This window comes from Homo sapiens, chromosome 13, assembly GCF_000001405.40.
Source record: "Homo sapiens chromosome 13, GRCh38.p14 Primary Assembly".
Classification (NCBI taxonomy): Eukaryota; Metazoa; Chordata; class Mammalia; order Primates; family Hominidae; genus Homo; species Homo sapiens.
Window position 1 is genome coordinate 110613082 of NC_000013.11, and position 27825 is coordinate 110640906.

Genomic DNA, 27825 nt, shown 5'->3' on the forward strand with positions numbered 1-27825 from the left:
TATGTTTTAACTGAGTGTATTTGAGCAAAACAAAACAGATTCCCGAATGGGGCAGCCCTCCAAACCAGAGCAGATAAGAGAACTCCAATCAGGAACCTGATCTGACAGCACCTATAGGAAACAGAAGTGTGTGATGGAGACAGCTAATTTGATTATAACTTCATTGCTTAACTGGTTACAGAGTTTCCTGCCATGAAGTAAAGCTCAGTTACTGTAGTTAAACTCCTTACTGGTTTGGTCTGGTAGGTGTAGTTCAGGGTTTCACTCTGTTATCAGAAAGGGGTTCCAATCCAGACCTCAAGAGGGTTCTTGGACCTTGTGCAAGAAAGAATTCTGGGCGAGTCCATAAATTGAAAGCAAACTTATTAAGAAAGGGAATAAAAGAATGGCTACTCCATAGGCAGAGCAGTGGCACTGGCTGCTTGACTGAATATACTTATGAGACTTGAAGCCAGCTGGACTTCCTGGGTCGAGTGGGGACTTGGAGAACTTTTCTGTCTTACAAGAGGATTGTAAAATGCACCAATCAGCACTCTGTAGCTAGGATTGTAAAATGCACCAATGAGCGCTCTGTAGCTAGCAAGAGGATTGTAAAATGCACCAATCAGTGCTCTGTAAAACGCACCAATCAGCAGGATCCTAAAAGTAGCCAATTGCAGGAAAGATTGAAAAAAGGGCATTCCGATAGGGCAGAAACAGAACATGGGAGGGGAGAAATAAGGGAATAAAAGCTGCCCCACCCCCCCACCCCCGCCAGCCAGCAGCAGCAATCCACTTGGGTCCCCTTCCATGCTGTGGAAGCTTTGTTCTTTTGCTCTTCATAATGAATCTTTTTTTTTTTTTTTTTGAGGTGGAGTCTCGCTCTGTGGCCCAGGCTGGAGTGCAGTGGCCCGATCTCGGCTCACTGGAAGCTCTGCCTCCCAGGTTCACGCCATTCTCCTGCCTCAGCCTCCTGGGTAGCTGGGATTACAGGCGCCCGCCACCATGTCCGGCTAATTTTTTGTATTTTTAGTAGAGACAGGGTTTCACCGTGTTAGCCAAGATGGTCTCGATCTCCTGACCTTGTGATCCACCCGCCTCGGCCTCCCAAAGTGCTGGGCTTACAGGCATGAGCCACCACGCCCGGCCTCTTCATAATAAATCTTGCTGCTGCTCACTCTTTGGGTCTATGCCACCTTTAAGAGCTGTAACACTGTGAAGGTCCGCAGCTTCATTCTTGAAGTCAGTGAGACCATGAACCCACCGGCAGGAACTAACTCCACACATAGTTATAGTTATCTCTTGATTATAGGCTAAATAAGGAGGGGATTATTCATGAGTTTTCTGGGAAAGAGGTTGGCAATTGCTGGAACTGAGGGTTCCTCCCCTTTTTAGACCATATAGAGTAATTTCCTGATGTTGCCATAGCATTTGTAAACTCTCATGGCGCTGGTAGGAGTGTCCTTTAGCATGCTAATACGTTATAATCAGCAAATAATGAGCAATGAGGACACAGAGGTCACTTTTGTGGCCATCTTGGTTTTGGTAGGCTTTGGGCCAGTTTCTTTACTGTGTCATCTTATCAGTGCGGTCTTTGTGACCTGTATCTTGTGCCCACCACCTCATCCTGTGGCCAAGAATGTCTAACCCCCTGGGAATGCAGCCCAGTAGGTCTCACCCTCATTTTACCCAGTCCCTATTCAAGATGGAATCGCTCTGGTTAAAAGGCCTCTGACATGTTGAGCCATCCTTTCACCTCAGCCTCTCAAGTAGCTGGACTACAGGTGTGCCACACCATCCCCTGCTAATTTTCCAAAAAAATTTTGGTAGAGAAGGGGGTCTCCTTATGTTGTCCAGGCTGGTCTCAAACTCCTGGGCTCAAACGATCCTTCCATCTTGGCCTCCCAAAGCATTGGGATCACACGCGCGAGCCACCGCACCTGGCCCCACAAGTTTCTTTTAGCACCATGACGGTGGCTTCAAATAGGGCGGCAGTGGAGGTAAGAGGCCATCAGCCACAGGAGGAGCGTGGGTGGGAGGGCAGGAGAGGTCAGAATGCCTTCCAGGGGTTTGGGCCTCAGCGTTGGAGTGATGGAGCTGCCCTGACCTGAGACGGTGGAAAGCGAAGGGGCCTCGCAGCGAGCTGGTTTGGGGTTCAGGGCAGAGGTTGCGCCTGGAGCAGAAAGGCACCTGACTGCTATACTGGGGGCACATAGTGGGCCTCGGCACTCCACCTGCCAGCAAAATCATTTTCTATAACGCCGCAAGCCTAAAAATGGGCCGATAAACACAAACCAGACCCTGAACCAGATCGTTGTTAACTCTTCAACCTGCCTTCCAGCCGAACCTCTTAGGCCAGAGCTGGGACCAGGCCGGGTTGGGCGTCGCGCTTGTCAATCATCTAGAACCGGGTGTGATTGAGCGAGTTGGGATCCCACTGCCGACAGCCGCGCGGAGGCGGTCGGGAAACCGGAAAACGCTTCCAATGGCTGTGTTTCCGGCGACGGCGCGGGGGCAGCTGGGAATCCGGAATGCTGCCCGATGGCCCTGGGTCCTCGCTGTGGGGCAATCCGGGCTTGCAGACGAGGTAAGGTCGATTCCATTTGGCCCGGGGATGGTCACACGCGCGGGGGCCGGAACTGCCGTCGCCGGCGCGGTCGTTGTCGCATTGCTCTCGGCCGCACTCGCGCTGTACGGGCCGCCACTGGACGCAGGTACCCGACCGCTGACCGCCTCTGCTGGCTCGCGGGGGGGAAGCGCCGCCGAGGGGCAGCCCGCGCGCGGGGCCGGGGCGCCGTGTGGCCTGCGGGGCGGAGTAGGGAGAGGACGGAGGCCTCCTGGAACGGCGCGGCGACGGCTGGGCGCGGCTTGGGTGATGGGAGCCTCCGTGCGGGGTGACAGAGGGGCAGAGGGTGGCGCCGGGCCGGAGCCAGTGCGCGTCCCAGGAGCGGCGGAGCCCGCGCGGTGGCCGGGGAACGGGGGGCCGAGGGCCGAGGACGGTAGGAGGGCCCTGGGGCGCCGTGGTGCGCTGGTCGGATCCGTCTGCTCTGCTCTGTCCCCGCTCCCGGTCTGGGAAAGATGCTCGCCAACTGCGGGCTTGCTGTTTGGTCGGAGCTGGATACGGGGGCCCTCCTGGGGCCCAGGGACGCGGCGGGCGTGCAGGCGAGCTGGCCGGCTGAGCGGGCTTCGCGCACACCAGGAGCAGGGCCGTGTCTGCATCCCCAATTTGAAGTCCCAGTGCGACTGGGCAAGTACAGACCCTGCACGTCCTTGGACGAGAGGGACTGGATATTGCGACGCCTGGGCCGCAGAAAAGGACTCCACCAGCCAGGCCTCCTTCGCCCGCCCCCGGTTCGGGGTGTGTGTGTGCGTGTAGGAGGTCCCTTGGGGAGGGAGGCTCACCTGAGTCATCCCCAGAACCTGAAGTGCTGGCCAGATGTCCCCGAGGGCCCTGCCCTGGCCTTGGCTGGTCCTTGCACGCTGAGATGCCTTTTCAAATAGAACGGATAAGGTAGAAAGAATTTAAACAGGAGCTGAGCAAGTGCTTGGAGCCCCATCTCTTCATAGGGTTTTTTTGTCTTTCTGTTTGCCTTGTTGGTATTGGTGTATCTAACATATTTTATACAGGAAGTAGTTCGTGTATATCTCATTTCTCATAAGGAGAGATTGCTGTTATCCACCTTGGTATAGAAGATAAATAGAAGCTCAGAGAAAGTGACTTAGCCAGGATTCTCCAGCCAGTGAGTGGCCGAAATGGTTAAACGCACCATTTGTTGCTGTAGTCATTAGATAGATTTTACCTTGTGTGTATGTTGGGCATCGTCAGAGAGTTTGGCTTTTTGTTTTCATCAGCACACACTGAGAATGCACTGGGTGGCGCTGAGAGGGTACTCTACACTGCACCTCACTCACACCAGCAGGGAGGCTTCTTAACACTTTATTTAGAGATTTATTTGTAGCTCTTTACCTTAAATTCACACACCGTGATTAGTAGCAAGATTTTTCATTGCGCTTGGTTGAGGATTTATTATCAGACTGCCTAAACTTTTACGAAAAGCCAGGTAGAGTTGTATATTACTGAGGCTTTAGGAAATATTTCAGTTAACTTAGGGATTGTGGTTAAATGCTCTAAATTAGTTATAACTCACATTAACTTAAAGTATTTTTGTTTTTTTAAGTAGAATTTTCCAGTACTAAAAGCACTTTTAGCACAAAGCAGCAGTGATAGTCTTCCCCAGACACGCTTCCTTAAAACAAAAGCCAAACAAATTTAACCTGTTCTTCCAGACTCAGAATTGTCTGAAGAGTTACCGAATGGGATACATCTTAAGTCGCCTATTGTCAAGGCCTTTTTATCCTTCAGAACTTTGATCTTTATATGTAAATGTTTCTGTGTTAACATTTGAAATGTTAAGTTCAAATGGTGACGTCAGTAAGCCAGCTGGAACTTGCTTCACTGCCAAGTGCTGGGAAGTTTAGTTGACCTGCTTTGGCCCTTTTGCTAACAGAAGCTGTTTATCTTAGGTGAATGCTGGTGAGCAGCCTGGATTTTACTTTGTGTTAATACAATTCTATTCAAGTGAAAATGCTATACTTCTTATTTTGCCTTAAAATGGCAGCATTTTACACCTACTGTGTGCCCACAAAAATAAAAACAAAAACATGGCAGCACTTTGGTAAAATAGTGTCTTGTGGCCTGGCTTGTCCATTACTAACCACAGCATCTGCACAGGTTTCTCTCTGGGCCCCAGTTTCCTTATCTGTAAAAGAAAGATAAAGTGCTAGTGAGGAGAGTGAATCACGATGTCTTGACTTCATCGAACATGTATCAAGTGTCTTGTTCTGTGCCAGGCTGTGTTCGAGGTGATTGAGTCCCACATGGAAGCAGTCAGTGCTGCAGCTTGCGGATGGTGCCACATTCCTCGTGGGCAGGCAGTAGTAGGGTGCTGATTCTCTGCCAGTCCAGACATAAGAACTTCCTTCTTATGTCCAGGTCAGCCCCTACCATGTAGGTTGTCTGTGTGCTCGAAAGGTTTCAGAACCCCACATGTAATAATAGTTACTTTTGGTATCACTTTGAATTTTTAAAATTATGTAGCAAAAAAGTTACTATTAATTATATTATGAGTTTAACATAATTTTAAGCTAGCTTCCATTTGAGAGCCGTTGTTCTCATGTGTAAATCTTGAAATATTCAGTTTCTGGATGGCGCTTCTTGTTCTCCAGGGTTCTTAGACCCAGCCCTTACGGTAGCATCATGGCCAGGGAACTGGGAATCTCACAAAGTCTTAAGATTTCACAACGGAACAGGAGCAGGAGGAGGCGACTCCCGCTGGTGGGTTGATCAAGTTGCTGTGAAGGTGGTTTGCACATTTTGGGCTTCAAAACACTACCTTCTGTATAAGATAAAGGAATAGCTCAGAACAGGATTCCCCCCGTGTTTTCTTCCTAGCTATGATAAAGATTGCCGTGTGAATGCAGTGGGTTTTACACACTCAGAATTGATATTTTTGGCTTGTGGTAAATGGGACTTTAATGCTTAACCTGCTGTAGAAAAATCCGCCTTAGAAAGTGGCCCTTATTCGTATATTGTATTCGATGTTTGAGCCCCCTGATATCTTATCATTTTAACAAAGCTTACCTTGAAGTGCAGGAAAAATTGTATGTGTTCTTGTCATTATTTGAATAACAACAAAAATCAGTATTAGCTTTAAAGCCTGTAGGTTTTAAGCGTATCCTTGCCTGGACTAGCATATCTCCTCTTTCTCAACCAAAAAGATCAGAAAGGTGCTATCCCAGTACCAAAAGTACTGGGAGGACTTTCAGCAGAGTGTGACGCAGAAGGGAAGCTTTTCCGCTCTGGGGAGCAGATGCGGAGAGGACAAGCACTTGGAACACAGCATCCCTGGGAGCTCTGGTGCTGCAGTTGTGACCCCGAGGCGGCCCTGCTGTGCCCTCCTGGGAGTGCTGGGCGACACTGGTTGCAGAGGGGCATTGGTGCTCCCCTCCACCTGACAGGTGCTCCACCTGGACTCGTGGCTGCAGCTTAATTTTGTGTCAGATCCTTTCCGGTAATGTATAGGTTATTTCAACTATGAGGCAAAGTGCAAATGGGTAGTTCAGTGTGGGTTTATGGTATTTGCCCTTTTTGATATAAACATTAAATATTTCATACCTCACCTATAGTACTTTTTTTAAGACTTAAATCTGAAATTTAAGATACAGATGTTTGTAAGATATGAATCTTGGATATTGGGAGAAAGAAGCCTCCTGGAAAATATACAGTATTATCTGGTGGAACCATTTTATTCCTTTTCTTATTGTGAGAAATACACATTTATGAAGTATTACCATTTAGGAGTTGTTTTCATCAGGCAGGGTACATTGATATAAATGTTGATTTTTAACATCCGTAAGTTGAAGTCTGACTAAATTGTTTTTCTCTGTGATTTCATAAGTCACAATTTATATTTTATATGACCTTAAATATTTAATTTGAAGTACTGGTATATTTAAAGGTGCTAAAACTACACGCATGCATCTCTACTAGTGGTTCTTAACCCAGGCTCATTTTGCCCCATCCAGAAGACATTTGGGAGTGTTGAGATATTGCTGGTTGTCACCACTGGGTGCGTGTACATGCACTGCTGACTGGGTAGAAGCCGGGGATGCTGCTCAGCATCCTTCAGTGCATAGAACAGCTCCCCACGACAAAGACAGGATGCTGATCGATACCCATAAATGTCTTTTTTTTTGAGACAAGAGTCTCGCTGTGTCACCCAGGCTGGAGTGCAGTGGCATAATCTTGGCTCACTGCAGCCTCCACCTTCTGGGTTCAAACAGTTCTTCTGCCTCAGCCTCCCGAGTAGCTGGAATTACAGGCATGCACCACCGTGCCCAACTAATTTTTGTATTTTTAGTAGAGATGGGGTTTCACTATGTTGGCCAGGCTGGTCTCGAACTCCTGACCTCAAGTGATCCACCCACCTTGGCCTCCCAAAGTGCTGAGATTACAGCGGGGAGCCACTGCGCCTGGCCCCATAAATGTCTCTTCTAGACAAGTGTATTGTTTTAAAACCATAATTTAGCCCTCCTGGAGGGATTTCAAGGATGGGTGCATTGGTCCCCTGCAGGTAGCTCAGCAAGCTTCATTGTGTCTCTCCTTGGCCCACAGTTTATAGTGATTCTGTGCCGGGTCTTGTGTGTTGGTCTGGAAGAAGGTGAAAAGATTTGGGGTTGGGCTGAGCGCGGTGGCTCACACCTGTAATCCTAGCACTTTGGGAGGCCGAGGTGGGCAGATCACAAGGTCAGGAGATCGAGACCACCCTGGCCAACATGGTGAAACCCCGTCTCTGCTAAAAATACAAAAATTAGCTGGGCGTGGTGGCATGCGCCTGTAGTCCCAGCTACTCAGGAGGCTGACGCAGGAGAATTGCTTGGACCAGGGGGTCGTAGGTTGCAGTGAGCCGAGATTGTACCACTGCACTCCAGCCTGGCGACAGAGTGAGACTCTGTCTCAAAAAAAAAAAAAAAAAAGAATTTGGGTTGATGGGGATTCATAGGATCTTTTTATCTTGGGGAATCCCAGCATCTGCTCTATCAGCTAAGGCAGTTACATCTACTCATAAAGAAAATTCCTTCAAAAGTTTTGTTGAGTAAAAAGTAAAACTGTAAGAGTTAAAAGACAAAGCTCTTTTGCTGTGAAACGCTCAGTGAGCTTTGGACTGCAGTCAGTGGAACTTGTGACACTGGTTTTTCTCTGCTGCTGAGATAATTGGAAGGATAAAAATATTGAGTGCCTTGTTTGAAAAAATACTGTTTATATTTGCAAAGATCCTTTCATTCTAGGGAGAATGTATGCTTTATTCATTGAGCTCTATAGAACATACCAGCATTTCTCTCATAGCCGAGCTGTTTTAAATATTAAGGTAAAATATATAACACAGGAAGCTCTTCAAGAAAGGCCAATTGAAGTGTAGCTGTTTAGAGACAACTCAAGATGATGAAAATACATTAAATGCCACTTTGAACCCAATTTAAGAGGTGTGCCATATTTAGAATGCCATTTCTAGGTTATTTAATTAATACCCAGTTGAGTGTTGGAATACAGTTGGGAGTAATATGATGAATCTGTCAGACTTCTGAGCACCCCAGCGGATTACAGGTGGGAGCTTGCTTTCCAGTTTGTGAGGAGAGAAAAGACCTAATAATCCTAAAGGGAAATTGAAATGAAGTGATAGTTTATTAAGTAATAATGCATTTTTTTACTTGATAAAACTTTCTGGAAAATTAAATGGTCTTCCAAAATTTCAGATACATTTCAAAAATAAACCTGATAGAAATAGCATATGTTGTCCTGGTGGGGTGGCTCATGCCTGTAATCCCAGCACTTTGGGAGGCTGAGGCGGGCAGATCACTTGAGGTAAGGAGTTGGAGACCAGCCTGGCCAACATGGTGAAACCCTGTCTCTACTAAGAATACAAAAATTAGCAGGGCAGGGTGGCAGGTGCCTGTAATCCCAGATACTCCGGAGGCTGAGGCAGGAGAATCGCTTGAACCCAGGAGGTGGAGGTTGCAGTGAGCAGGATCGTGCCACTGCACTCCAGCTTGGGTGACAGAGCTAGACTCTGTCTCAAATAAATAAATAAATAGCATGTGTTACTATATGTGTTAATTACATGTGTTCAGGCTGGGCATGGTGGTTCACGCCTGTAATCCCAGCACTTTGAGAGGCTGCAGCTGGCAGATCACTTGAGGTCAGGAGTTCTAGACCAGCATGGCCAACATGATGAAACCCTATCTCTACTGAAAATACAAAAATTAGCCAGGTGTGGTAGTAGACACCTATAATCCCAGCTGCTCAGGAGGCTGAGGCAGGAGAATTGCTTGAACCTGGGAGGCAGAGGTTGCAGTGAGCTGAGATCACGCCACTGCACTCCAGCCTGGGTGACAGAGTCAGAGTTCGTCTCAAAAAAGAAAAAAAAAATTGCATGTGTTAATGTAATTTTGAACATCATATTTGCTTACAGAAATCCATTGGGTAAAAATCTATAGCATTCGTAATAACTTTGGAGAGGGTTTTGGTTAATGGGCTATTATGTGTACTAACAATATCTGTTTACCTTTCTGAATTATTCATTTTTCTTGTCTTTCAGTTTTAGAAAGAGCGTTTTCGCTACGTAAAGCACATTCGATAAAGGATATGGAAAATACTTTGCAGCTGGTGAGAAATATCATACCTCCTCTGTCTTCCACAAAGCACAAAGGGCAAGATGGAAGAATAGGCGTAGTTGGAGGCTGTCAGGAGTAAGTAGCTGATGTGCAGTGTTGGTGTTTAAAAAGTCAGTTGCTGGCTGGCTGCTTACCTGACTGTCATTCACGCTGTCTAGTTTGACCTCAGTAATCATTTCCAAATGCAGCCTGATAGGACACTCAGTATTTTTCAGTGATCCACTTTTTGATTAACTAGGAAATAACTCTGAGGAGCCCTGACTGAATTACTCCCTCATGTGTGTCAGTGTTAAGTTTTGTCGTAGTGGGGAAATGAGCCTGTTTTTTCCACTTTCTGCTTTTCTGTATTTAACTGGACTTCATACCACAAGCATGTTTTTTGTATTTAGGATAGAAACACTCAGCAACCTCTTGGTTTACTTTGTCAATTTAAAGATGTTACTGAAAGTCATTTATGAAATTTGACAAATCCCTAGCTTGCTTCTGTTCTGTTTTGCTGCTGTGTTTGGTACGTAGCTGTTTGTAAGTTGTCCTTGGGTGTGAAGGATACCTTCTGCCTCTGACGGAAAGCCTGCCGTGGCTCCTCTGTTTCTGCTTGCTTTCTGTTTGCATGGATGTGGTATCTCTCTTTGCCCATCCCTCCATTTGCAGCTGTTGATCGTGCCATAGGGTGTGTTAGAGTTGTTACTGGATCAGGTATGTGTGCATTTTACATGCTGGTGACGCTGCCGAATTGTCCCCCCATTGCGTTAGTGTGTGTTGCCTCCCAAGAGCACCTGTTCCCTGCAGCCCTTGGAGGACAACCTTTGCTAGTGAAGTCGACAAGCTTTCTTGTTGTTTTAATGCATTTCTCTTATTAGTGAGGCTTGTTTTCACATGATGGAAGAGTGTGTGCATGTATGTTGCCTGTTCTGTACTGTCTTTTGCATTTACAACGCTATTGACACCGCTTTGCAGGAGAAGGCCATGTAAGGTGATGGGTATCAGCATTTGCCCAGGTCTCTCTTTCTTGGGTTAGCAAAACATTTCACTGCTCGGAATGGACATAAAGGTTGCATTTGCCCATCTGACGGAGGGCAGGGCTCTTCCTTTCTGTGCCTGAAGTGCCCTTAGACCTGGAGAGCCAGGGATTCCAGAACAGCCAGGCGGAAGCAGCTGGGTGGTGGGTGCCGTTTCTTGTTTGTCCCAGGTGGCCCCCATCTGGCCTCTGCTGACTGTGACTCTTGGAGGACGGGGTCTGCCCACTCTGGGACCCTGTCCATGCCCGACTGCTCCGAACATGTGGTTGTCACTTTCTTCTCTCCAGGCAGAAGCCTGCGGTCAGCTCCTTACCTTGAACATTCACATTGCAGGGAGACTGCAGGCATTACTGCCAGAGATTCACTCTCCTGAAATGCATGAAGGTTTTATGTAAAAGATCGACATTTCTGGCTGGGCGCGGTGGCTCATGCCCGTCATCTTAGCATTTTGAGAGGCCGAGGCGGGCGGATCACCTGAGGTTGGGAGTTTGAGACCAGCCTGACCAACATGCAGAAACCCTGTCCCTACTAAAACTACAAAATTAGCCGGGTGTGGTGGCGCATGCCTGTAATCCCAGCTACTCAGGAGGCTGAGGCAGGAGAATCGCTTGAACCCAGGAGGCGGAGGTTGCAATGAGCCAAGATCGTGCCATTGCACTCCAGCCTGGGCAACAAGAGTGAAACTCTGTCTCAAAAAAAAAAAAAAAAAAGACATTTCTAGTCGAACCTGGTTCATGTTCATTGAACATTTGCTGAGCATCTTTTAGGTGTTGGGTTTGTGCTGTGTGCTTCATGTCTCTGTTATTTATTGATAAACCATGTCTATATTATTTATGTCTATTTTTTATTGATAACCTATTTATTGATCAAGGTATGCTTACCTTATTCTCAGAAGTTTTTGACTCTAAATACCTTCTTTTTAGGTACACTGGAGCCCCATATTTTGCAGCAATCTCAGCTCTCAAAGTGGTATGTTTACTTAAAATTTCTTTATTGGGATTTTTCTGGTAGAGAGTTTGATTATTTAAATATGATTAAAGCAAATGTTTTCTGATAGAAATCTAAATAATATCTTAGGGTAATCATAGCTAATAGAAACACCGTTAAGTCTATCCTGACATCTGTGCATAAACAAGATCACTTCAGTTGAAGCTCATTTTTTTTTGAGACAGAGTTTCGCTCTTTTTGCCCAGGCTGGAGTGCAATGGCGGGATCTCGGCTCACAGCAACCTCCGCCGCCTGGGTTCAAGCGATTCTCCTGCCTCAGCCTCCCGAGTAGCTGGGATTACAGGCACCTGCCACCACGCCTGGCTAATTTTGTTTGTATTTTTAGTAGAGTCAGGTTTTCTCTCTGTTGGTCAGGCTGGTCTCGAACTCCTGACCTCACGTGATCCATGCGCCTCGGCCTCCCGAAGTGCTGGGATTACAGGCGTGAGCCACTGCACCTGGCCTCAATTGAAGCCCATTTTTAAAACCTAAAGCGTGATTTGTATTGTACTCCACCAAAGTGCACCTGGGATGCCTTTGTAGGTCGCAGCTGAAGCCGCTGATCCTGCAGTTTCCCATGAGCTGAGCAAGTGCTAACGGCCGGCCTCTTCCTGTGACCCTTCCTCCTGGAGGGTGACCAGACCGAGCTGGGCCGTGCTGGTGTGTGTGGCTCTGACCCTGCCTCTGCAGTGGCGGCAAAAGTCTTTCTTTTTAGGTATTGTGCTCTGCGCCCTGGCCCTTTGCTAAGCCACCTGGCTGGGTGTAATCCGAGCTAGTACGTTTCTCATGCACGTCACCAGGGCTGAGTAATGAGCGCTGGACGCCTGTGTCTGGCGGGTGGGCAGCGATGCCGGAGCGATCCCTGAGTCGGCCTCTTGTGCTCCTTCATCAGGGCGCAGACTTGTCCCACGTGTTCTGTGCCAGTGCGGCCGCACCTGTGATTAAGGCCTACAGCCCGGAGCTGATCGTCCACCCAGTTCTGTGAGTCGCTCTGCGCCGGCTTCTCGTAGGTTCTCTTTCCCTCCTGCATCATTTGGGGTTTTGGCACTGACACCGAAAGCGTCCTGATGGATTTTCCATCCTCAGAGTTTCTCAGCAGGTGCTGTAGAGGAAGTAGGGAAATGAAGGAGCCCGTTCTTCTGGGGTCAGAATAAGACAGAGACGGCGGGGTGGAGAGGTGGGTGGGGGAGCTTGGGCCTGTTGGAAATGGCCGGGGCCCAGCTCCAGAGGCAGGGAGGCCCTGTGGGCTGTGTGTGACAGGTTTGCAGAAGGTGGAAACGAAGGGCCTCTGAGCAATAACAAGACCCTTCCTGCACTCGGCACATATGTCTGGTGCCAGGCCCTAGCCTGTGTTCCATGGGTCAGCGTGGAACTGGGCAGGCAAAAACCTGCCCCCGTGGGGCTCCCCCAGACCGCCTATGCTATAGAGCTTGCTGTGTGGAGGTGTTCTCTCTGCCGTCCAGGATTGTGGCCACTGAGGGCTTGAAATGTGGCTGGGAGGTGCGGGAGCAGAGCGTTTGCTCTTGTTTACTTTTCATTGTGTGTGTTTGCACCGACTGGATTGGGCTGTGCTGCTCTGGAGACAAGGGAGAGGAGGATGTCAGGTGGTGAAGGAACCGTAGAGAGCGGCAGCAGGGAGGGGGCTGTGAGAGTGGGCAGAGGGGCAGTTGGGGCGGCAGCACAGTGTGATGACGCCTGGGTCGAGCCCGGCCTCTCCACACCAGAGAGGAGCCGGCGCGGAGCTCCAGGTGCGGTGCTGTGATGTGTCGGGTGACCAAGAGGTGCAGGGCTGGGCCCCACAGGGTGTGGGGCTGCTGTCAGGGCTGTGGCTCTGGCCCTGAGTAAGCAGGGCAGGGCCAGTGTGGGTCATAAAGGCTCCTACGCGGCTGTGGGGCTGGGCCGGAGGCTGTGGTAAGGACCTGTGGGAGGGAAGGGTGCAGTCAGATGGTGAGAGGGGCCGGATTCTGGGTATGTTTGGAAAGTTTGGGGGTGGAATTTGCCGACAGATTGGATTGGAAAAGGCAAGGGGCACAGACTCCACCAAGGGTTTTGGTCTGAGCGAGTGGTCACTCCATGTGGTGGAAACGGGCTTGGGTGGGATGAAGATGAGGCGTTGGGTGTAGGGCGCAGTTTGGCTGCCAGTTAGACATCCAAGGGACGTGGCTAGAGGGCATTGGACAGTGGGGACACGGGCTTGGGAGTCATGCACATGTGGACGGTGCTTAAAGCTGGAAGACGAGGGAGTAAGAGGCGGAGGGGGGCTGGGGTTGGGGGCAGGGGGGACTTGGCACTCAGATGCTGGGAGCACGGGCTGGGGAGGAGGCAGCAGGGGCCTCCAGGAGTCAGTGAAGCCGCTGTTTCCAGACAGCTCCAGAAGGGCCTGTGTGTGCGACTCTGGGTCAGTTGGAGATGAGGCCTGAGAACAGTTGGTGCATCTCACAGTGCGGGGTGACCCTGACAAGGGAGCTTGTCGGGGAGGAAAGGGGACAGAAGCCTTAACAGTGGGCTCTAGGAGAGGTCACACCGAACAGGAAGGAGTTCTGAAAAAGCAAACCCCTGCCCTGTTCTGAATGAGAAACTGCAGCAGGGTCAGTGCGTTGTGTGGGGCCTGGTCTATAAGCACACAAAGTAGGCTTTACAGCCACACATGTATGTGATGGAAACAAACGGGCTAACTTTAGAGGGCAAAGATGATTTTGAAAATAGCCATCGTTCTTTTTCTAACTTGTCGTAACTGTTGAAAGCTAGGCATGTAAATCTGGGCATTAAAAGAGAGATCAGGGAGAGGCAATGGCCACATGCAGTGTGGGGCCTGGTTTGGGTCCTGACATGGGAAGAGGACATCAAGAGGAAATGGGAAATTTGGAAAATGCTGTGGTTTAATGAATAGTATTAACCAATGTGAACTTGGTCATGCTGATCCGGAATGTGGGTGTGTGAGGCGTTAACCTCGGGGAGGCTAGGCGAAGGGTACATGGGAGCCTTCTGTACTGATTAAATAATAAATCTAAATTACAGAAATTATTTAAAAGTCATTACTATTTATAAGTTATTTTTTCAAAATAAAATGTAAACAAATACATGACAGTAAGTAAATGAGGAATTGTGGGTAACCATCCTGGCCTTCCTTTCCTTCTTTAGTGACAGCCCCAATGCTGTTCATGAGGTGGAGAAGTGGCTGCCCCGGCTGCATGCTCTTGTCGTAGGACCTGGCTTGGGTAGAGATGATGCGCTTCTCAGAAATGTCCAGGTAATGTGTATACTCACTCACTTCCCTCATGACAGGCTTAGCCTTAGGCGTGAAGTTGGAACAGAGGCATTTCTCTTGCATTTTGTGTAGTGTTCCGTGTGCCTCTTTGTGGCATGATTGAGATAAGATTTGAGGGACGGAGGAGAAACTGAGTGCAAAGGTGGGGAGGAACTGTGCTGAGATGTGCTTCTCTCCGGGCCCGACTGTTTTCTCATGGAGCAGCTGCAGGAGGTGTGTGTGTGGAGTTGCTCAGTTGTTTTATGTCTGATGTGAGGAGAGGGTGAGCAGGACTGAGGAGGTGACAGAGGTTTGGGGTCAGGCCTGGGTGTATCTCCCAGGCCACCCCCTTCTTGCTGGGGGATCCTGGGGTTCCCTCAGCCTCCTGGGCCGTTGTTCCCACACAGCCCTGGCGCCATGCTCTGCTGACATCAGGCTGTGAGGTGACACGGGCCTGCTTGTCCGTGCCCACATGCATATGCGCATGGACTCTCATTTATGCTGGTATTTCTTTCTTAAAGTTCATCTTATGCCCACCTAAATCCAAAAGATGAAAGTTATTCTGATCACTTTGTGCCTGCTGTAAATAAATACCACCTGGGATCAGGGGCGATAAAAAGATGGGGATGGCTGCCAGCTCTGTGTTCCCTGCGTCCTCTGACGCTCCCTGGGCTGGTGTGTCTCTGCTGGGGGTTGTGCTCCTGTGGGGCTGCCCTCTGAGACCCTTTCTCAAGTTCCGGGGGACCCCTGTTAGAGCTCCTGGGGGAAGACACAGTGTGCCAGATGGCTTGGTGCCACAGGGTGCTCACATGTGCAAGGCGTGGTGACTGCATGGGGATCAGAGGCCGGGCATTAGTGAGGGACTACGCTTGAAGCCCTTAGAAGGTGCCTGGCCATTTTGTGTTCCCCAGATCAGCAGTCACCCTGAAAATGCCAGCCATCTGCATGGCACTCTGTTGGGTGCTTAGTTAATGGAGGGGTCTCTGAGGCTGCGGGGCTTGAAGGCGGCGAGTGATGGAGCCAGCAGTGCAGGATGAGTCATCTGAGGGGCAGGCAGACGCAGGCTGACACTGCACAGACCAGGAAAAGCGGCGTGGAGTCAGCACGGGAGCCCGTCTTTGAGCTTTAAGGTCTTACCCGCTCACCGGGAAGGAGGAGGTGGCCATGTTTAGGAGCAGTAGAACCCTCTGTCATCCCCGGGGAGAGGCTCTCAATGGGGAGTCCCATCTGCAGGCTGCGGGTCTGCGGTGCACGGCTGCTGCTTCCTGTCCAGCTCTGCATCCTGGGGGTGCGGATGAATTAGAGGTGAACGAGCCAGAGTGCTCTGCTTCAGGTTATTTTCTTTGTGAATTTAAGTTCACAATTTAAAAACTGGTATCTTAAAAAACCACTGTACTGCGTGGAAGTGTGAAAGGTGGGAAGTGAGGGTGTGCGTCGCTGCCCCTGCAGCCCAGACTCTGGACCTTGCATTCTGGTTCCTGTACACTGTTGCCGTGGTCTTGAGAGCCCTCAGGTCATCTAGCGTGGGCTGCCGCCTCCTCGTCAGCTTCCAGCTCGTGTCTGGTGCGGAGCAGAGGCTTCCTACTTCGTCGACGTTCCTGAATGAGGTCATCATCTGGTGTAGGCCTGAAAACAACCCGATTAGGTAGATTCCTATTCATAGCCCCATTCTTCTGATGACAGATTGAGTCCTGGCAAGGATTCAAGACGCCCGTGGGATCTGGTAGCAAAGAAACTGCAGAGATGGTTTTTTAAAAACGACTTTATTTAGATGATTTACCTACCATACCCCTCACCCATTTAAAGTGAACTATGCGGTGGCTTCAAGTATATTCATAGTTGTGCAACCATCACCATGATCAACCTTAGAATATGTTTATTGCCTCCAGAAGCAGCCCATCCCCGTTAGCATCTGCTCCCTGTTCCCCAGTCTCCCCAGTTCCTGGCAGCCACTCAGCTAGTATGCTTTCTGTCTCTCTGGATTCGCCTGTTCAGGACATTTCATATGAATGGAATTATGCAACGTGTGCTATTTAGTGATTAGTTATGTCACTCTGCATAATTTTATATTTAGAGTTACCTGTGTTGTAGCATGTATCAGTATTCCATTCCTTTTTATATCTAATATTTCACTGTATGCATACACCACCTTTGGTTTATCTGTTGATTAATTTATGGAAAATTGGTTTCCACTTTTTGTGTGGATGTGTTTTCACTCTCCTGGGTGTTAAGTGTTTCACATTTTGAGGCCCTGCCACTGTTTCCCATAGCGGCTGCACTATTTTCCATTCCCTCTAGCAGTGTGCGAGGGCTCTGATTCTCCACATCGTTCCCAGCACTTGTTACTGTTGTTGTCTACTTAGCAGCCACTCTAGTGGGCGTGGAGCGACCTCACTGTGGTTTGGTTTGCGTTTTCCTGGCAGCTGATGCTGTTGAGCATCTTTGCATGTGCTCATTGGCTGTTTGGGTATCTTTTTTTTTGTTTTTGTTTTGTTTTGTTTTTGAGACATATTCTCACTCTGTCACCCAGGCTGGAGTATAATGGCGTGATCTTGGCTCACTGCAATCTCCACCTCCTGGGTTTAAGTGATTCCTTTGCCTTGGCCTCCAAGTAGCTTGGACTACAGGCGCCCACCATCACACCCAGCTAATTTTTGTATTTTTAGTAGAGATGGGGTTTCACCATGTTGGCCAGGCTGGTCTCGAACTCCTGACCTTAGGTATCCGCCCGCCTCAGCCTCCCAAAGTGCTGGGGTTACAGGCGTGAGCTACCATGCCTGGCCTCTTTGGGTATCTTCTTTGGAGAAGTGTCTATTCATACCCTTTCCCCACTTTGAAAACTGTTTTTTGCCTTTTTTTTATTGACTTTTAGGAGTTCTTCATATACGTTCTAGACACAGGTTCCTTATCAGAGAGACGATTTGCCGATATCCTCTCATTCTGTAGGTTGTCTTTTCACTTCGATGGTTTTGTTTACAGCACAGTTTTTAATTTTGAAGTCCAATTTAGCTGTTTTTTCTTTTGTCCCTTGTGCTGTTGGTGTCTTATCTCAGAAGCTTCTGCCTAACCCAAGGTTTACTCCTACATGTTAAGAGCCTTATTGTTTTGGTTGTTACTTTAGCTCTGCGGTGCATGTCGAGCTGATGCTGGTGTGGTAGGAGGAGGCTCCAGCGTCAGTCTTTTGCTTGTGGGTGTCCAGCTGTTGCAGCACCATGTGCTGGAGAGACTCCTTTTTCCTCCCAACTTGTCATCCTCCCTGACAATCCGTTGACCCTAAATGTGAAGGCTTATTTCTGGACTGTTGTTTCTGTTTTGTTGATCTGTACAGCTGTCCTGCAACTGCCCGGTCTTGACTGCTGTGGCTGTGTAGGAAGCCTTGACGTCGAAAGCCCGAGTCCTCCAAATTCGCTCTTTTTAAGGTTGTTTTGGCTCTCCTGGGTCCCATGCATTCCAGTTTTGGATCAGCTTGCTGATTTGTGGAATAGGCAGCCGCAACTTTGGTAGGGATGATGTTGAAACTGAAGATCAGTTGGGGGAATGTCTAACAACATTAAGTCTTCTGGTTCCTGGGCTGGCTTTGAACCCACGTTGTCTGAATCTGGAGCGCAGGCTCTTGACCAATGCACCTGTCCTCACACTGTGCTCTTTGCACACTCGTTAACAGTGTGTCCTGGAGACTTTTTCATGGAAGGATATGTGGATACTCATTATTTTTAACAGCCACATCAGAATTTATGGATCTACTACAGTGTATTTAGTTCATTTACACTGTTTTCAGCTTTTTCTTCATGTTAACATCAGTGGTGTCCTGAATCTATGTGTTTTGTGCACTCTTTTGGGTGAAGTTCCATTGCTGAATCAGAGTAAGGACGTTTAAATTTTTGAGAGATGCCCCCAGATTTCTCCCTAGTGTACCAAGGTTTGCTTTCCCATGGGTGGGGACACCCTTCTGCGCTGGGTGCTCTGATGCTGCAAACCTTTCTAGGAGACCCATGTAACATTGCATTTTCCAGGGTTTGAATATTCACTTTTGAGTACTATTTGCAAATACATTAAAAGAAAACACAGAAACAGATGAAAATGTCAGATTGTTGCCAAATACTGCAACATGAAATCAGAAACTGATCTAAAATCTGAATTAGCAAAAGCCTGCCAGTTTTAACAGTAAAGCCAAACTCAGGGCAAGCAGACAAAGAATTTTTATTGTTAATAAAGGGAATAATAAACTTCCATGAAGTCTCAGGTACCTGCCTCCCTGGAAGGGGCTTCAGGACACACTGCTAATGCTCGGACCAGTGTCAGAGCCAAATACACACTTTCCTATGGCTGGAATGTGCGTCATAAACAGGCTGAAATGAGCACTTTGTTAGGCGAGCAGCTAATGCTTTGTCAGCTTTCAAATTTCATTTAATATACACGGCTTTAGTTTTCAATACTTTAAATTATTCTTAGCATGTATTTTTATGTCCAGAATTGGTGGGTTCTTGGTCTCACTGACTTCAAGAATGAAGCCGTGGACCCTCGCGGTGAGTGTTACAGCTCTTAAGGTGGCGCGTCTGGAGTCTGTTCCTTCTGATGTTCAGATGTGTTCGGAGTTTCTTCCTTCTGGTGGGTTCGTGGTCTCTGTCTCAGGAGTGAGGCTACAGACCTTCGCGGTGAGTGTTACAGCTCTTAAGGCAGCGCGTCTGGAGTTGTTCGTTCCTCCCGGTGGGCTCGTGGTCTCGCTGGCTTCAGGAGTGAAGCTGCAGATCTTCGCGGTGACTGTTACAGCTCATAAAAGCAGTGTGGACCCAAAGAGTGAGCAGTAGCAAGATTTATTGCAAAGAGCGAAAGAACAAAGTTTCCACAGCGTGGAAGGGGACCCGAGCGGGTTACCAATGCTGGCTCGGGCAGCCTGCTTTTATTCTCTTATCCGGCCCCGCCCACATCCTGCTGATTGGTAGAGCCGAGTGGCCTGTTTTGTCAGGGCACTGATTGGTGTGTTTACAATCCCTGAGCTAGACACAAAGGTTCTCCACGTCCCCATCAGATTAGTTAGATACAGAGTTTCGACACACAGGTTCTCCAAGGCCCCACCAGAGCATCTAGATACAGAGTGTCGATAGGTGCACTCACAAACCCTGAGTTAGACACAGAGTGCTGATTGGTGTATTTACAAACCTTGAGCTAGATACAGAGTGCCGATTGGTGTATTTACAATCCCTGACCTAGACATAAAGGTTCTCCAAGGCCCCACCAGAGCAGCTAGATACAGAGTGTCGATTGGTGCATTCACAAACCCTGAGCTAAACACAGGGTGCTGATTGGTGCACTCACAAACCCTGAGCTAGACACAGGGTGCTGATTGGTGTGTTTACAATCCCTGAGCTAGATATAAAGACTCTCCACATCCCCACCAGACTCAGGAGCCCAGCTGGCTTCACCCAGTGGATCCCGCACCAGGGCTGCAGGTGGAGCTGCCTGCCAGTCCTGCGCCGTGCGTTCGCATTCCTCAGCCCTTGGGTGGTCGATGGGACTGGGTGCCGTGGAGCAGGGGGTGGTGCTCGTCGGGGAGGCTCGGGCCGCACAGGAGCCCATGGAGGGGGTGGGAGGCTCAGGCATGGCGGGCTGCAGGTCCCGAGCCCTGCCCGGCGGGAAGGCAGCTAAGGCCCGGTGAGAAATTGAGCACAGTGCCGGTGGGCTGGCACTGCTGCAGGACCCAGTACACCCTCTGCAGCCGCTGGCCCGGGTGCTAAGTCCCTCATTGCCCCGGGCCAGCAGGGCTGGCCGGCTGCTCCGAGTGCGGGGCCCGCCAAGCCCACGCCCACCCGGAACTCCAGCTGGCCCGCAAGCGCTGCAGGCAGCCCCAGTTCCCGCTCGCGCCTCTCCCTCCACACCTCCCTGCAAGCTGAGGGAGTGGGCTCCAGCCTTGGCCAGCCCAGAAAGGGGCTCCCACAGTGCAGTGGTGGGCTGAAGGGCTCCTCAAATGCCGCCAAAGTGGGAGCCCAGGCAGAGGAGGTGCTGAGAGCAAGCGAGGGCTCTGAGGACTGCCAGCATGCTGTCACCTCTCATTTTGTTTAATGTTTTCTATTTTAATGTTTTGTATTATCAGGTGTCTGTCAAGTCAGGATCACTTTACATGCTACTGCAGTGTATAATCTTGTCACAATGTATTGGCTCATAATAATAAAAACCACCAAATATTACATATATGTGTGTGTATCTATACATGTAGTTTTTTTTTTTTAATAGAAAACCTTTGAAACCTTCACTGTAATCCTATCAGGGAAAAATGATTCCCTGTTTATTATTGTTGTTATTTTAAAACGTGTAAGTAAAGTGATATGAAAAATACATAATGACTAATGATTTGGGGAATTCTCAGGAATTCAGATTTCCTGCCTCCGAATGCTGCGTATTAGTATCTGTTGGAGAACTGGATGCCCTTGCTGGGGCGGGGGCTGTCTTCATGGGTTAGCCTAGGAGCCCAGCTGTTGTTCATAGCGTTTCCAGTGGGCTTCGCCTTTCAGAGTTCCCAGTGTCCTGCCTTGTTTACGGGCTCTGCGAGTTCATTGGGTCTTTCTGCTTCTCTATTTTATTCATTTACTTGATTATTTTCCATTTATTGTTTGATGGCCTGATGTTGCATTTTATTAAGAGTCTGCTCAATTTTCTGTCACTCTTGGGAAAAGTGTCTTAGTCGGTTTTGCGCTGCTGTAGCCGTACCACAGACTGGGTAATTGATAATGAACAGGCGTTTACTGGCTCACAGTTCTGAAGGTGGATGTCCAACATCAAGGTGCCGGCATCTGGCGAGGGCAGAAGGGCAGGAGAGAGACCCTTATGCCTCTTTTAAAGGTCATTAAACCAACCCATGAGGACACTGCCACATCACCTTTTAAAGGCCCCACCTCCCAGGACCCTTCCCTTGGCAATTAAGTTTCACCATGAGTTTTGAGAAGACACATACCCACACCATAGCAGCAGGCATGGTGCTCAGTCTGGTTTTCTCTTCTGGCAGGGCATTTTGGAAGTGTCAAAGGCCAGGGACATCCCTGTTGTCATCGACGCGGTGAGTTGACTTCTCTCCTCCTGGCTCGGACTCCCGGAAGGCCTGTGCAGTGAGCACGGCTCCTTGTTCTGTGCAGGATGGCCTGTGGCTGGTCGCTCAGCAGCCGGCCCTCATCCATGGCTACCGGAAGGCTGTGCTCACTCCCAACCACGTGGAGTTCAGCAGACTGTATGACGCTGTGGTGAGTCAGTGGACCCCCTGGAGGGTAGATGCAAGCCCTGTTCGTCCTGAAGAGGGTGAAGGACGAGCTCCATGCTTCTGCCCAGCCTGTCCCTGTGGACACACCTGCAAGTAATCGCTGTGCCTCTCCCAGCGGATGGCGCGTCTTCCCATTAATGCGCTTGGATTGGATGAACGATGGTGTAGTGGGCTTGGGACAGGCAGGGACTCGGGTCAGTCAGCCCCTCCTGCAGTGCACTCTGGACAGGTCACTTTGTCTGTGTCCTGAGTGCCTCATCTGTAATGTGATGATGGCATCAGCTTCACGGGGTTGTGAGGATGAGATGAGGAAACCTATGTAAAGCCGTGAGTCCCCACATGGTAAGTGTCCCATCAATGTTAGTGCCCAGTACGACTGGAATTTGTATTACTCCTGCAAAGCTCTCAGAACCCAGTCTTGGGTGGTCCTCCTTCAGCCTGCTCTGATGAGGTAGAGGATGGGCACTGGAGCAGGCACCGTGTCAGCACCTGCTCGGAGGACTCACTGCAGGTGATATCCTGGGCATCCTCCCACCTACATGGCCTTTAACAGGTGCCTGGGTGATCCCTTTAGACACGAGAGCATGAGTCTCATGGCGGATGGGACAGGGCTATCTGTCGTCGTGTGTCTGAGGAAGACTTTGCTTTTTCTCTGTCTTCCTGTGTTGTCATAGCTCAGAGGCCCTATGGACAGCGATGACAGCCATGGATCTGTGCTAAGACTCAGCCAAGCCCTGGGCAACGTGACGGTGGTCCAGAAAGGAGAGCGCGACATCCTCTCCAACGGCCAGCAGGGTGAGTGGCGGCTGCCCTCTGTGCATGGGCCAGTGCCAGGTCAGTCAGCATGGCCACACCGAGCATGAGCCCTGGAAGACCTCTCCCGTGCACACCCGTGTTCACACACATTCACACAGGGATTCCTGATGAGCTCGTCAACCACACTTTCTTCAGAGTCCATGTTTTGACTTTTCACTGTTTTGCCAGGGGAGGTGACAGTGGTGAGGGCAGGCTTTCGAGCCGTGGGCCTTACCCGTTGGTTGAATTCCCTTGCCTCAGTTATGAGAAGCAGTCTGGCGGGAGGGTGCCTGCAACAGCAGGGCACAGTGCAGGGTCCCGCGTCTCCAGCTGCCACCTTCATCTCACCTGTGGCATCCACCATCCATGCAGTTATTTGGGTATTTTATTGCATTTCATTCTCTTTTATCAAAATGACTGGAAAGTGCAGAAAGCCCCGAAGCTGATGCTGGTAGTGGAATCTCAGGCACTGAGTGTGGCGAGTCTCAACTGGCCACTCCCACGGAGCCTGGGGAGGCTTCAGCAAGAGCCAAGTGAGAGCAGGGCAGAGGCCGGGCCCAGCGCCAGCGAGGCATCTGGGGAGCCGTGCCCTTGTTAGCGCTGAAAATGGAAGCCCCTCCATTCAGGCCTGGACAGATGATGGGCAGCGAATGTGCTCACCTGCTGAGCTGTGGGGCTGGACTAGGTACCAAAATCAGGGTAGAACACTGAGGCGTCTGTGGGCGGGTGTGTGCACATCCACACTTGTACACTCACATTCACATGCACATATGTGCACACGCATGCAATTCATACACATGCACAGTTGTGCTCACAGCCTCGCACGCCCTTGCACACTCGCACTTATACACATGCATGGTCATGCTCACAGCCTCGCACACGCCCTCGCACACTCATCCACACACAGCTGTGCACAAGGAACACAGAGCAGATGTTCTCAGAGGGACTCTGACACCTTTGAGATGAGGGTTTTTTAATCACTGGAAGGCTCTCTTGGGTCTAACAGGTTCAGAGAATGTAACACCTGGTTTTCAAAACATTTTTCAAAGAAATAGAGAATTCCCATACACAGGCATACGTGACGTTATGAGGCCGGTGGAGGCCTCGCTCGGTGTTGCCCTGTATGGTTGAGCTGTGGTTTAAGGTGAACTCTGGAGTGTGGGCTGCAGGTGAGGGCTCCGTCCCTGGGAGCTGGTGGGAGGAGCTGGAGGCTGGCGCCGCCCTGCTCAGAGCTGCCTGCTTGGGCTCGTCTGAGGCGGTTCCGAGCTGCAGGTGTCTCCACCAACCTGCTGTGCTACACAGCGGGGTCTGGGGCAGCCTCACCACTGCGTGTCTTGGTTTCCTCTTCTGTAAAACAGAGGCTGCCTCCAACCCTTGGAACAAACAGGGAAGAGCCGTAGCAGGCAGGATGTGAGTGGAGCCTCAGGCTGCTCCTGGAGGGTGTGGCTCTGCCTGCCGTGCGGCCTTCCACACCCGTGGCTACTGTCACATTCACACACATGGCCATGCTGACACCTGCTCTCACTTCTGCCCTGTGCAGTGCTTGTGTGCAGCCAGGAAGGCAGCAGCCGCAGGTGTGGAGGGCAAGGGGACCTCCTGTCGGGCTCCCTGGGCGTCCTGGTACACTGGGCGCTCCTTGCTGGACCACAGAAAACAAATGGGTAAGGCCACGTCTTCATTTATTCTACTTTGAAACCGTCTGATTTTTCTAAGCTGTTTCAGTAGCTCATGCGTTGAATAAGTAGCCCTGGAAACACTGACAATGAACTCTAGGCTTCACTGGAGAGATCTCGGCACAGACGAACCCTCTTGGCAGAAGCTTCCACCCCACACTTGGGCCTGGGCCTGTCCATCATTCACTGTGGATGGGGCCTGGGGCAGGGGTGGTCTTCAGAGCTCTCCAGAGAGTTCCGAGGTGCAACCAAGGCCCAGCAGCACGCTGTTCTGGGAAGTTGAGTGGTTTATTCTGTGTAACACAGAATACTAAGATAGAAAACAGACAGGGTCAAGGCTTACTTAGACACTTGTTCTTAAAGATGTGAATTTTCTTTAAGAGACAGCAGAATTCTAGGACCAGGGCCCTTGGCCCAGTTCTGTAGTCAGAGAACTTTATGAATGCAAGCAGTTCCCATACCTCTAAGCATCTCCATTTCTCTTCTGTGAGCCCATCAAGGTGGTGGCTGCAGGTGCTAGGTGTGGCAGACCCGGGCTTCTGGAGGGTGGGCAGGGCTGTCATCCAGTGGCCTCATGTGTCCTCATTGCCGGGATGGCAGAGTCTGGGACCATCCCCCAAACTAGGTGTGTCCACATGAATTTGAGAGCCGAGGAGGTAGGGGTGTGGGCAGGAGTCTTACTGTTCATTCTGCTGTGTTCACTCGAGTTGCCTCCACCCCTCCCCCAGGAGATGGAGCCCTGGTAGCAGGAATCCCCATTCTCAGACCTCAGATGCCCTCTGCACCTGGGCACTGAGAGCACAGTCAAACAGGGCTAAGCAGCTTGTGCCGCCTGGCTTTCCCCGGGAACACCTGGCCCACTGTGTGCCCTAGCCCTGGACCTGTCTCCGAGTACATAGACGTTTCCTGTGTGCCTCCTGCCAGGGAGTAGTGGAGGGTTAATGGTGGTTTTCGCTGTGATAAACCTGCTTTCTCCTCAGGGGCATATCAGACTTGAAATTGACAATTTGGGGTCCTGAGATTGAAACAGGAGTCAAAACCAGAGCCCAGGGTAGCTGCGGCCCCCGGACCACGACGCCCACTTCCCCACACCTCCTGCTGTCCCCCTCTCCGCAGGTCCAGCCCTCTCCTGGTGGCCGCGTTTGGCGCCTGCTCTCTCACCAGGCAGTGCAACCACCAAGCCTTCCAGAAGCACGGTCGCTCCACCACCACCTCCGACATGATCGCCGAGGTGGGGGCCGCCTTCAGCAAGCTCTTTGAAACCTGAGCCCGCGCAGACCAGAAGTAAACAGGCACCTTGGACGGGGGAGAGCGTGTGTGTGATGGGAAAATCCGGACCCACGCGTGTGCTGAAGGCGTACGGTGCTTGCCAGATTTTCAACTTGAGCATAAATTGGTTGCCATTGAGAATTTAAGAATCTGGAATATTGCAGCTTTTGGTTAAACTTAATGCATGGTTGGAGATGTTATGGCGACACTAAACAAAGTATTCCTGAACTTTCCTTAGCTCCTTGGTAGTAACTGGGAAGACAGAAATGAAGAAAATCACATGAGAATGAAGAATTCTTTAGCAGCTCAACAGAGTTTCTCGGCCTGCTCCCAGATCGGCGAAGTTTCTACTTGTTACTCTCTCTGCCGGCGCCCTTCGTTCCTCCTCTGCTTCCCTTCCCTAGTCTTTCCTCCGGCAGGGAGCTGGGCAGGGGTCCCCGGGTGTCTCCCTGAGTCCCGACTGCACTGACTGGGTCCATCAGAGGGCTGCTTCGTTCTCCAGCTCATCTTCTTTTAAAGTGGTGACTAGCTTGGTGGTATCTGGCTGCTGGTGTTTGGCTTATTGACATACTCCAGGGTAATCAATGATGACTTTGTTTGGAAACCCTTTTGGAGGCACCATGGGAACAGAAGGAAACATGAGTGACGCTGACCCTTGAGTGTGTGGGTGGGGAGCTCTGAGACGCCTCCTGTCCCACGCTCTCCGGTGTCCGTGTCTACACAGGGGTCCCCATGATACCCACCGGCCCCAGCAGGGCAGACCGGACCGGGGACGGGCACGGTGAAGGGCTGCAGCCTGGGGTCTGACGTGGCCCCTAGTGCTGTCTCAGGAGAAGGCTCTGGAGGACTTGAGGCATGCTGGGCCTGGTGCAGTGATGGCGCTAAGGAGACCCGGGGAAAGACAGTATCGTGGTCACGTATGCTTAGGAAGCAGCACAGCCGTGTCCTTAGGGATGTTCGCGTCCAGTAAAGACACTGGTAACTGCGGTTTCAGCCAACACTCTTCATGGCAGTGTCGACCTCGGGTTAGCTTCTGTTGTCTTTGTGGATGGTTTTCCTGGAGCGGCCTGACGTTGACGTGTTCTCTGGTCCCATGTCTTAGCGGGGCATGGTACGGTTTCGTGCCTGACGCGTGCATTAGGGTGTTCTCTTATACTTTCAGTAGCATCTTTCCACAGCAAGGGCCAAACCCTCCTGGTTCCCTTCAGAGTCTTTTTGGCCTGATGATGACTCTTGAGTGATACCCTGTGATGCAGACATGCCCCAGATGGATTCTACTTTCTTTAAAACTAGGGACTTTCAAGATTAAAAAAAAGATTGTCACTACTAATTTGACGCCTAACTTCAGAAGCTTCACTGTCTACATGTGAACTTTTCCAGAAAAACTGTGCCATGGACATTTTTCCTCTGGGGAATTAACATCTAAATTCTGGTAACTATTAAAAGACAGATCTGGTTAATTTAAATTGAGTATTGTATTTTTTTCCTTAAACAGCTAAAGCTCACCTTTCAACTTTCTTAGGTGAGGACATTGTGTGAGATGCCAGGGAGATAAGAATATCTAAGCCTGTCTGTGTGAGATTGGCCTCCTCGCCAGCGCCTCTCCCGTGGTGGCTGCAATAAAGCACCTTGAAGGATAAGCCCAAGGCAGCCCCTTCTTTCCTTAGGAAATAGAATTCAGCAGTCACAGGAACTATTCGTCTGGTTTTTGTTCTAAGTAAAACATCCCTTTGCTTAAAGGAGAGAATGGGTTTTTTTACAAGCAGCTCATTGCTTCCATGTTCTTTCTCAAACCCACGTATTTCACGCACTCGCTCCAGCCGGACACGCTCCCAGGAGCTTCCCTGGACCAGGAGAGCAACGGGAAAGTGTGGGGGGGTGGGCGGCCCGTAATGCCCCAGTACTGAGCAGCCCTGTCGAGATGCCTCATTGTAAGGAGCCCTCTGGGGACTTTTTCTATGTGGGTAGCTTTACTAGGGTGATTTTCTAGGTGAGTGACTTCTGAACTGTAGACAGGAGACCTGTACCTCAGGGTCACGGTTAAATGATGAGCAAGCCCGTATCCCCAGTCACGGGTCCCGCTGCTGCCTGTGCCCTTGGGATTCAGAGATGCCAGTGTGACAGGGAGAGGCCTGGCCCAGGGTCTGCGAGCAGGAAGAGTGGAGAGGGGTCACCCTGCTGAGTCACTGACAGCTGTGGCGCTGGGCTTACCACAGAAGGGTGAGATCAGGAGCAAGGTGGGTGCTTCAGGAGGCCACCGGTCCTGTAGCCCAGGCAGCCTGCCGTGTGCTGGCCGCCACCTCCCGCTCAGGAATCCTGTCTGTCACAGCTCGCCAGCTGGCTTTCAGCCTGGCTGCCCTGACTCCTCCGGAACCA

General features: G+C 50.2%; 1 protein-coding gene and 1 long non-coding RNA gene across 7 annotated transcripts, besides 9 other annotated features; one reads left to right on the plus strand and one right to left on the minus strand.

The window, feature by feature from the left end:
- NAXD-AS1 (NAXD antisense RNA 1) lies at positions 1 to 3272 on the minus strand. Its single transcript, NR_182301.1, has one exon. It is a non-coding gene; the product is annotated as an NAXD antisense RNA 1 (long non-coding RNA).
- Positions 1545 to 2472: an enhancer, noted in NCBI's record as "H3K27ac-H3K4me1 hESC enhancer chr13:111266973-111267900 (GRCh37/hg19 assembly coordinates)". NCBI's record gives its function as "activates a minimal SCP1, AML or CMV promoter by ChIP-STARR-seq in naive H9 embryonic stem cells {active_cell/tissue: H9 hESC(naive)}" and the evidence as "EXISTENCE:reporter gene assay evidence [ECO:0000049][PMID:30033119]".
- NAXD (NAD(P)HX dehydratase) lies at positions 2379 to 26915 on the plus strand. 6 transcript variants are annotated; one of them, NR_040103.1, is made up of 10 exons: positions 2379 to 2566; positions 9135 to 9285; positions 11153 to 11198; positions 12109 to 12197; positions 14358 to 14466; positions 21464 to 21514; positions 21591 to 21695; positions 22392 to 22507; positions 24048 to 24168; positions 25297 to 26915. NR_040103.1 is itself a non-coding variant. In NM_001242882.2 (10 exons), exons 1-10 carry the CDS (start codon positions 2521 to 2523, stop codon positions 25445 to 25447), a joined length of 990 nt encoding a protein of 329 aa, NP_001229811.1. In that variant the 5' UTR covers positions 2464 to 2520; the 3' UTR covers positions 25448 to 26915. The 6 variants fall into 6 exon arrangements, 4 of the variants coding, with proteins under 4 accessions (NP_001229811.1, NP_001229812.1, NP_060680.2 ...); NM_001242882.2 differs by having other exon boundaries at positions 2464 to 2566; positions 22387 to 22507; NM_018210.4 differs by having other exon boundaries at positions 2547 to 2693; positions 22387 to 22507; positions 25161 to 26915.
- Positions 2674 to 2923: a silencer, noted in NCBI's record as "silent region_5505". NCBI's record gives its function as "represses an Ori minimal core promoter by ATAC-STARR-seq in GM12878 lymphoblastoid cells {active_cell/tissue: GM12878}" and the evidence as "EXISTENCE:reporter gene assay evidence [ECO:0000049][PMID:35858748]".
- Positions 2934 to 3093: a silencer, noted in NCBI's record as "silent region_5506". NCBI's record gives its function as "represses an Ori minimal core promoter by ATAC-STARR-seq in GM12878 lymphoblastoid cells {active_cell/tissue: GM12878}" and the evidence as "EXISTENCE:reporter gene assay evidence [ECO:0000049][PMID:35858748]".
- Positions 3374 to 3423: an enhancer, noted in NCBI's record as "active region_8004". NCBI's record gives its function as "activates an Ori minimal core promoter by ATAC-STARR-seq in GM12878 lymphoblastoid cells {active_cell/tissue: GM12878}" and the evidence as "EXISTENCE:reporter gene assay evidence [ECO:0000049][PMID:35858748]".
- Positions 3444 to 3493: an enhancer, noted in NCBI's record as "active region_8005". NCBI's record gives its function as "activates an Ori minimal core promoter by ATAC-STARR-seq in GM12878 lymphoblastoid cells {active_cell/tissue: GM12878}" and the evidence as "EXISTENCE:reporter gene assay evidence [ECO:0000049][PMID:35858748]".
- Positions 19485 to 20147: an enhancer, noted in NCBI's record as "H3K27ac-H3K4me1 hESC enhancer chr13:111284913-111285575 (GRCh37/hg19 assembly coordinates)". NCBI's record gives its function as "activates a minimal SCP1, AML or CMV promoter by ChIP-STARR-seq in primed H9 embryonic stem cells {active_cell/tissue: H9 hESC(primed)}" and the evidence as "EXISTENCE:reporter gene assay evidence [ECO:0000049][PMID:30033119]".
- Positions 21142 to 21971: an enhancer, noted in NCBI's record as "H3K4me1 hESC enhancer chr13:111286570-111287399 (GRCh37/hg19 assembly coordinates)". NCBI's record gives its function as "activates a minimal SCP1, AML or CMV promoter by ChIP-STARR-seq in naive H9 embryonic stem cells {active_cell/tissue: H9 hESC(naive)}" and the evidence as "EXISTENCE:reporter gene assay evidence [ECO:0000049][PMID:30033119]".
- Positions 21972 to 22800: an enhancer, noted in NCBI's record as "H3K4me1 hESC enhancer chr13:111287400-111288228 (GRCh37/hg19 assembly coordinates)". NCBI's record gives its function as "activates a minimal SCP1, AML or CMV promoter by ChIP-STARR-seq in naive H9 embryonic stem cells {active_cell/tissue: H9 hESC(naive)}" and the evidence as "EXISTENCE:reporter gene assay evidence [ECO:0000049][PMID:30033119]".
- Positions 23631 to 24459: an enhancer, noted in NCBI's record as "H3K4me1 hESC enhancer chr13:111289059-111289887 (GRCh37/hg19 assembly coordinates)". NCBI's record gives its function as "activates a minimal SCP1, AML or CMV promoter by ChIP-STARR-seq in naive H9 embryonic stem cells {active_cell/tissue: H9 hESC(naive)}" and the evidence as "EXISTENCE:reporter gene assay evidence [ECO:0000049][PMID:30033119]".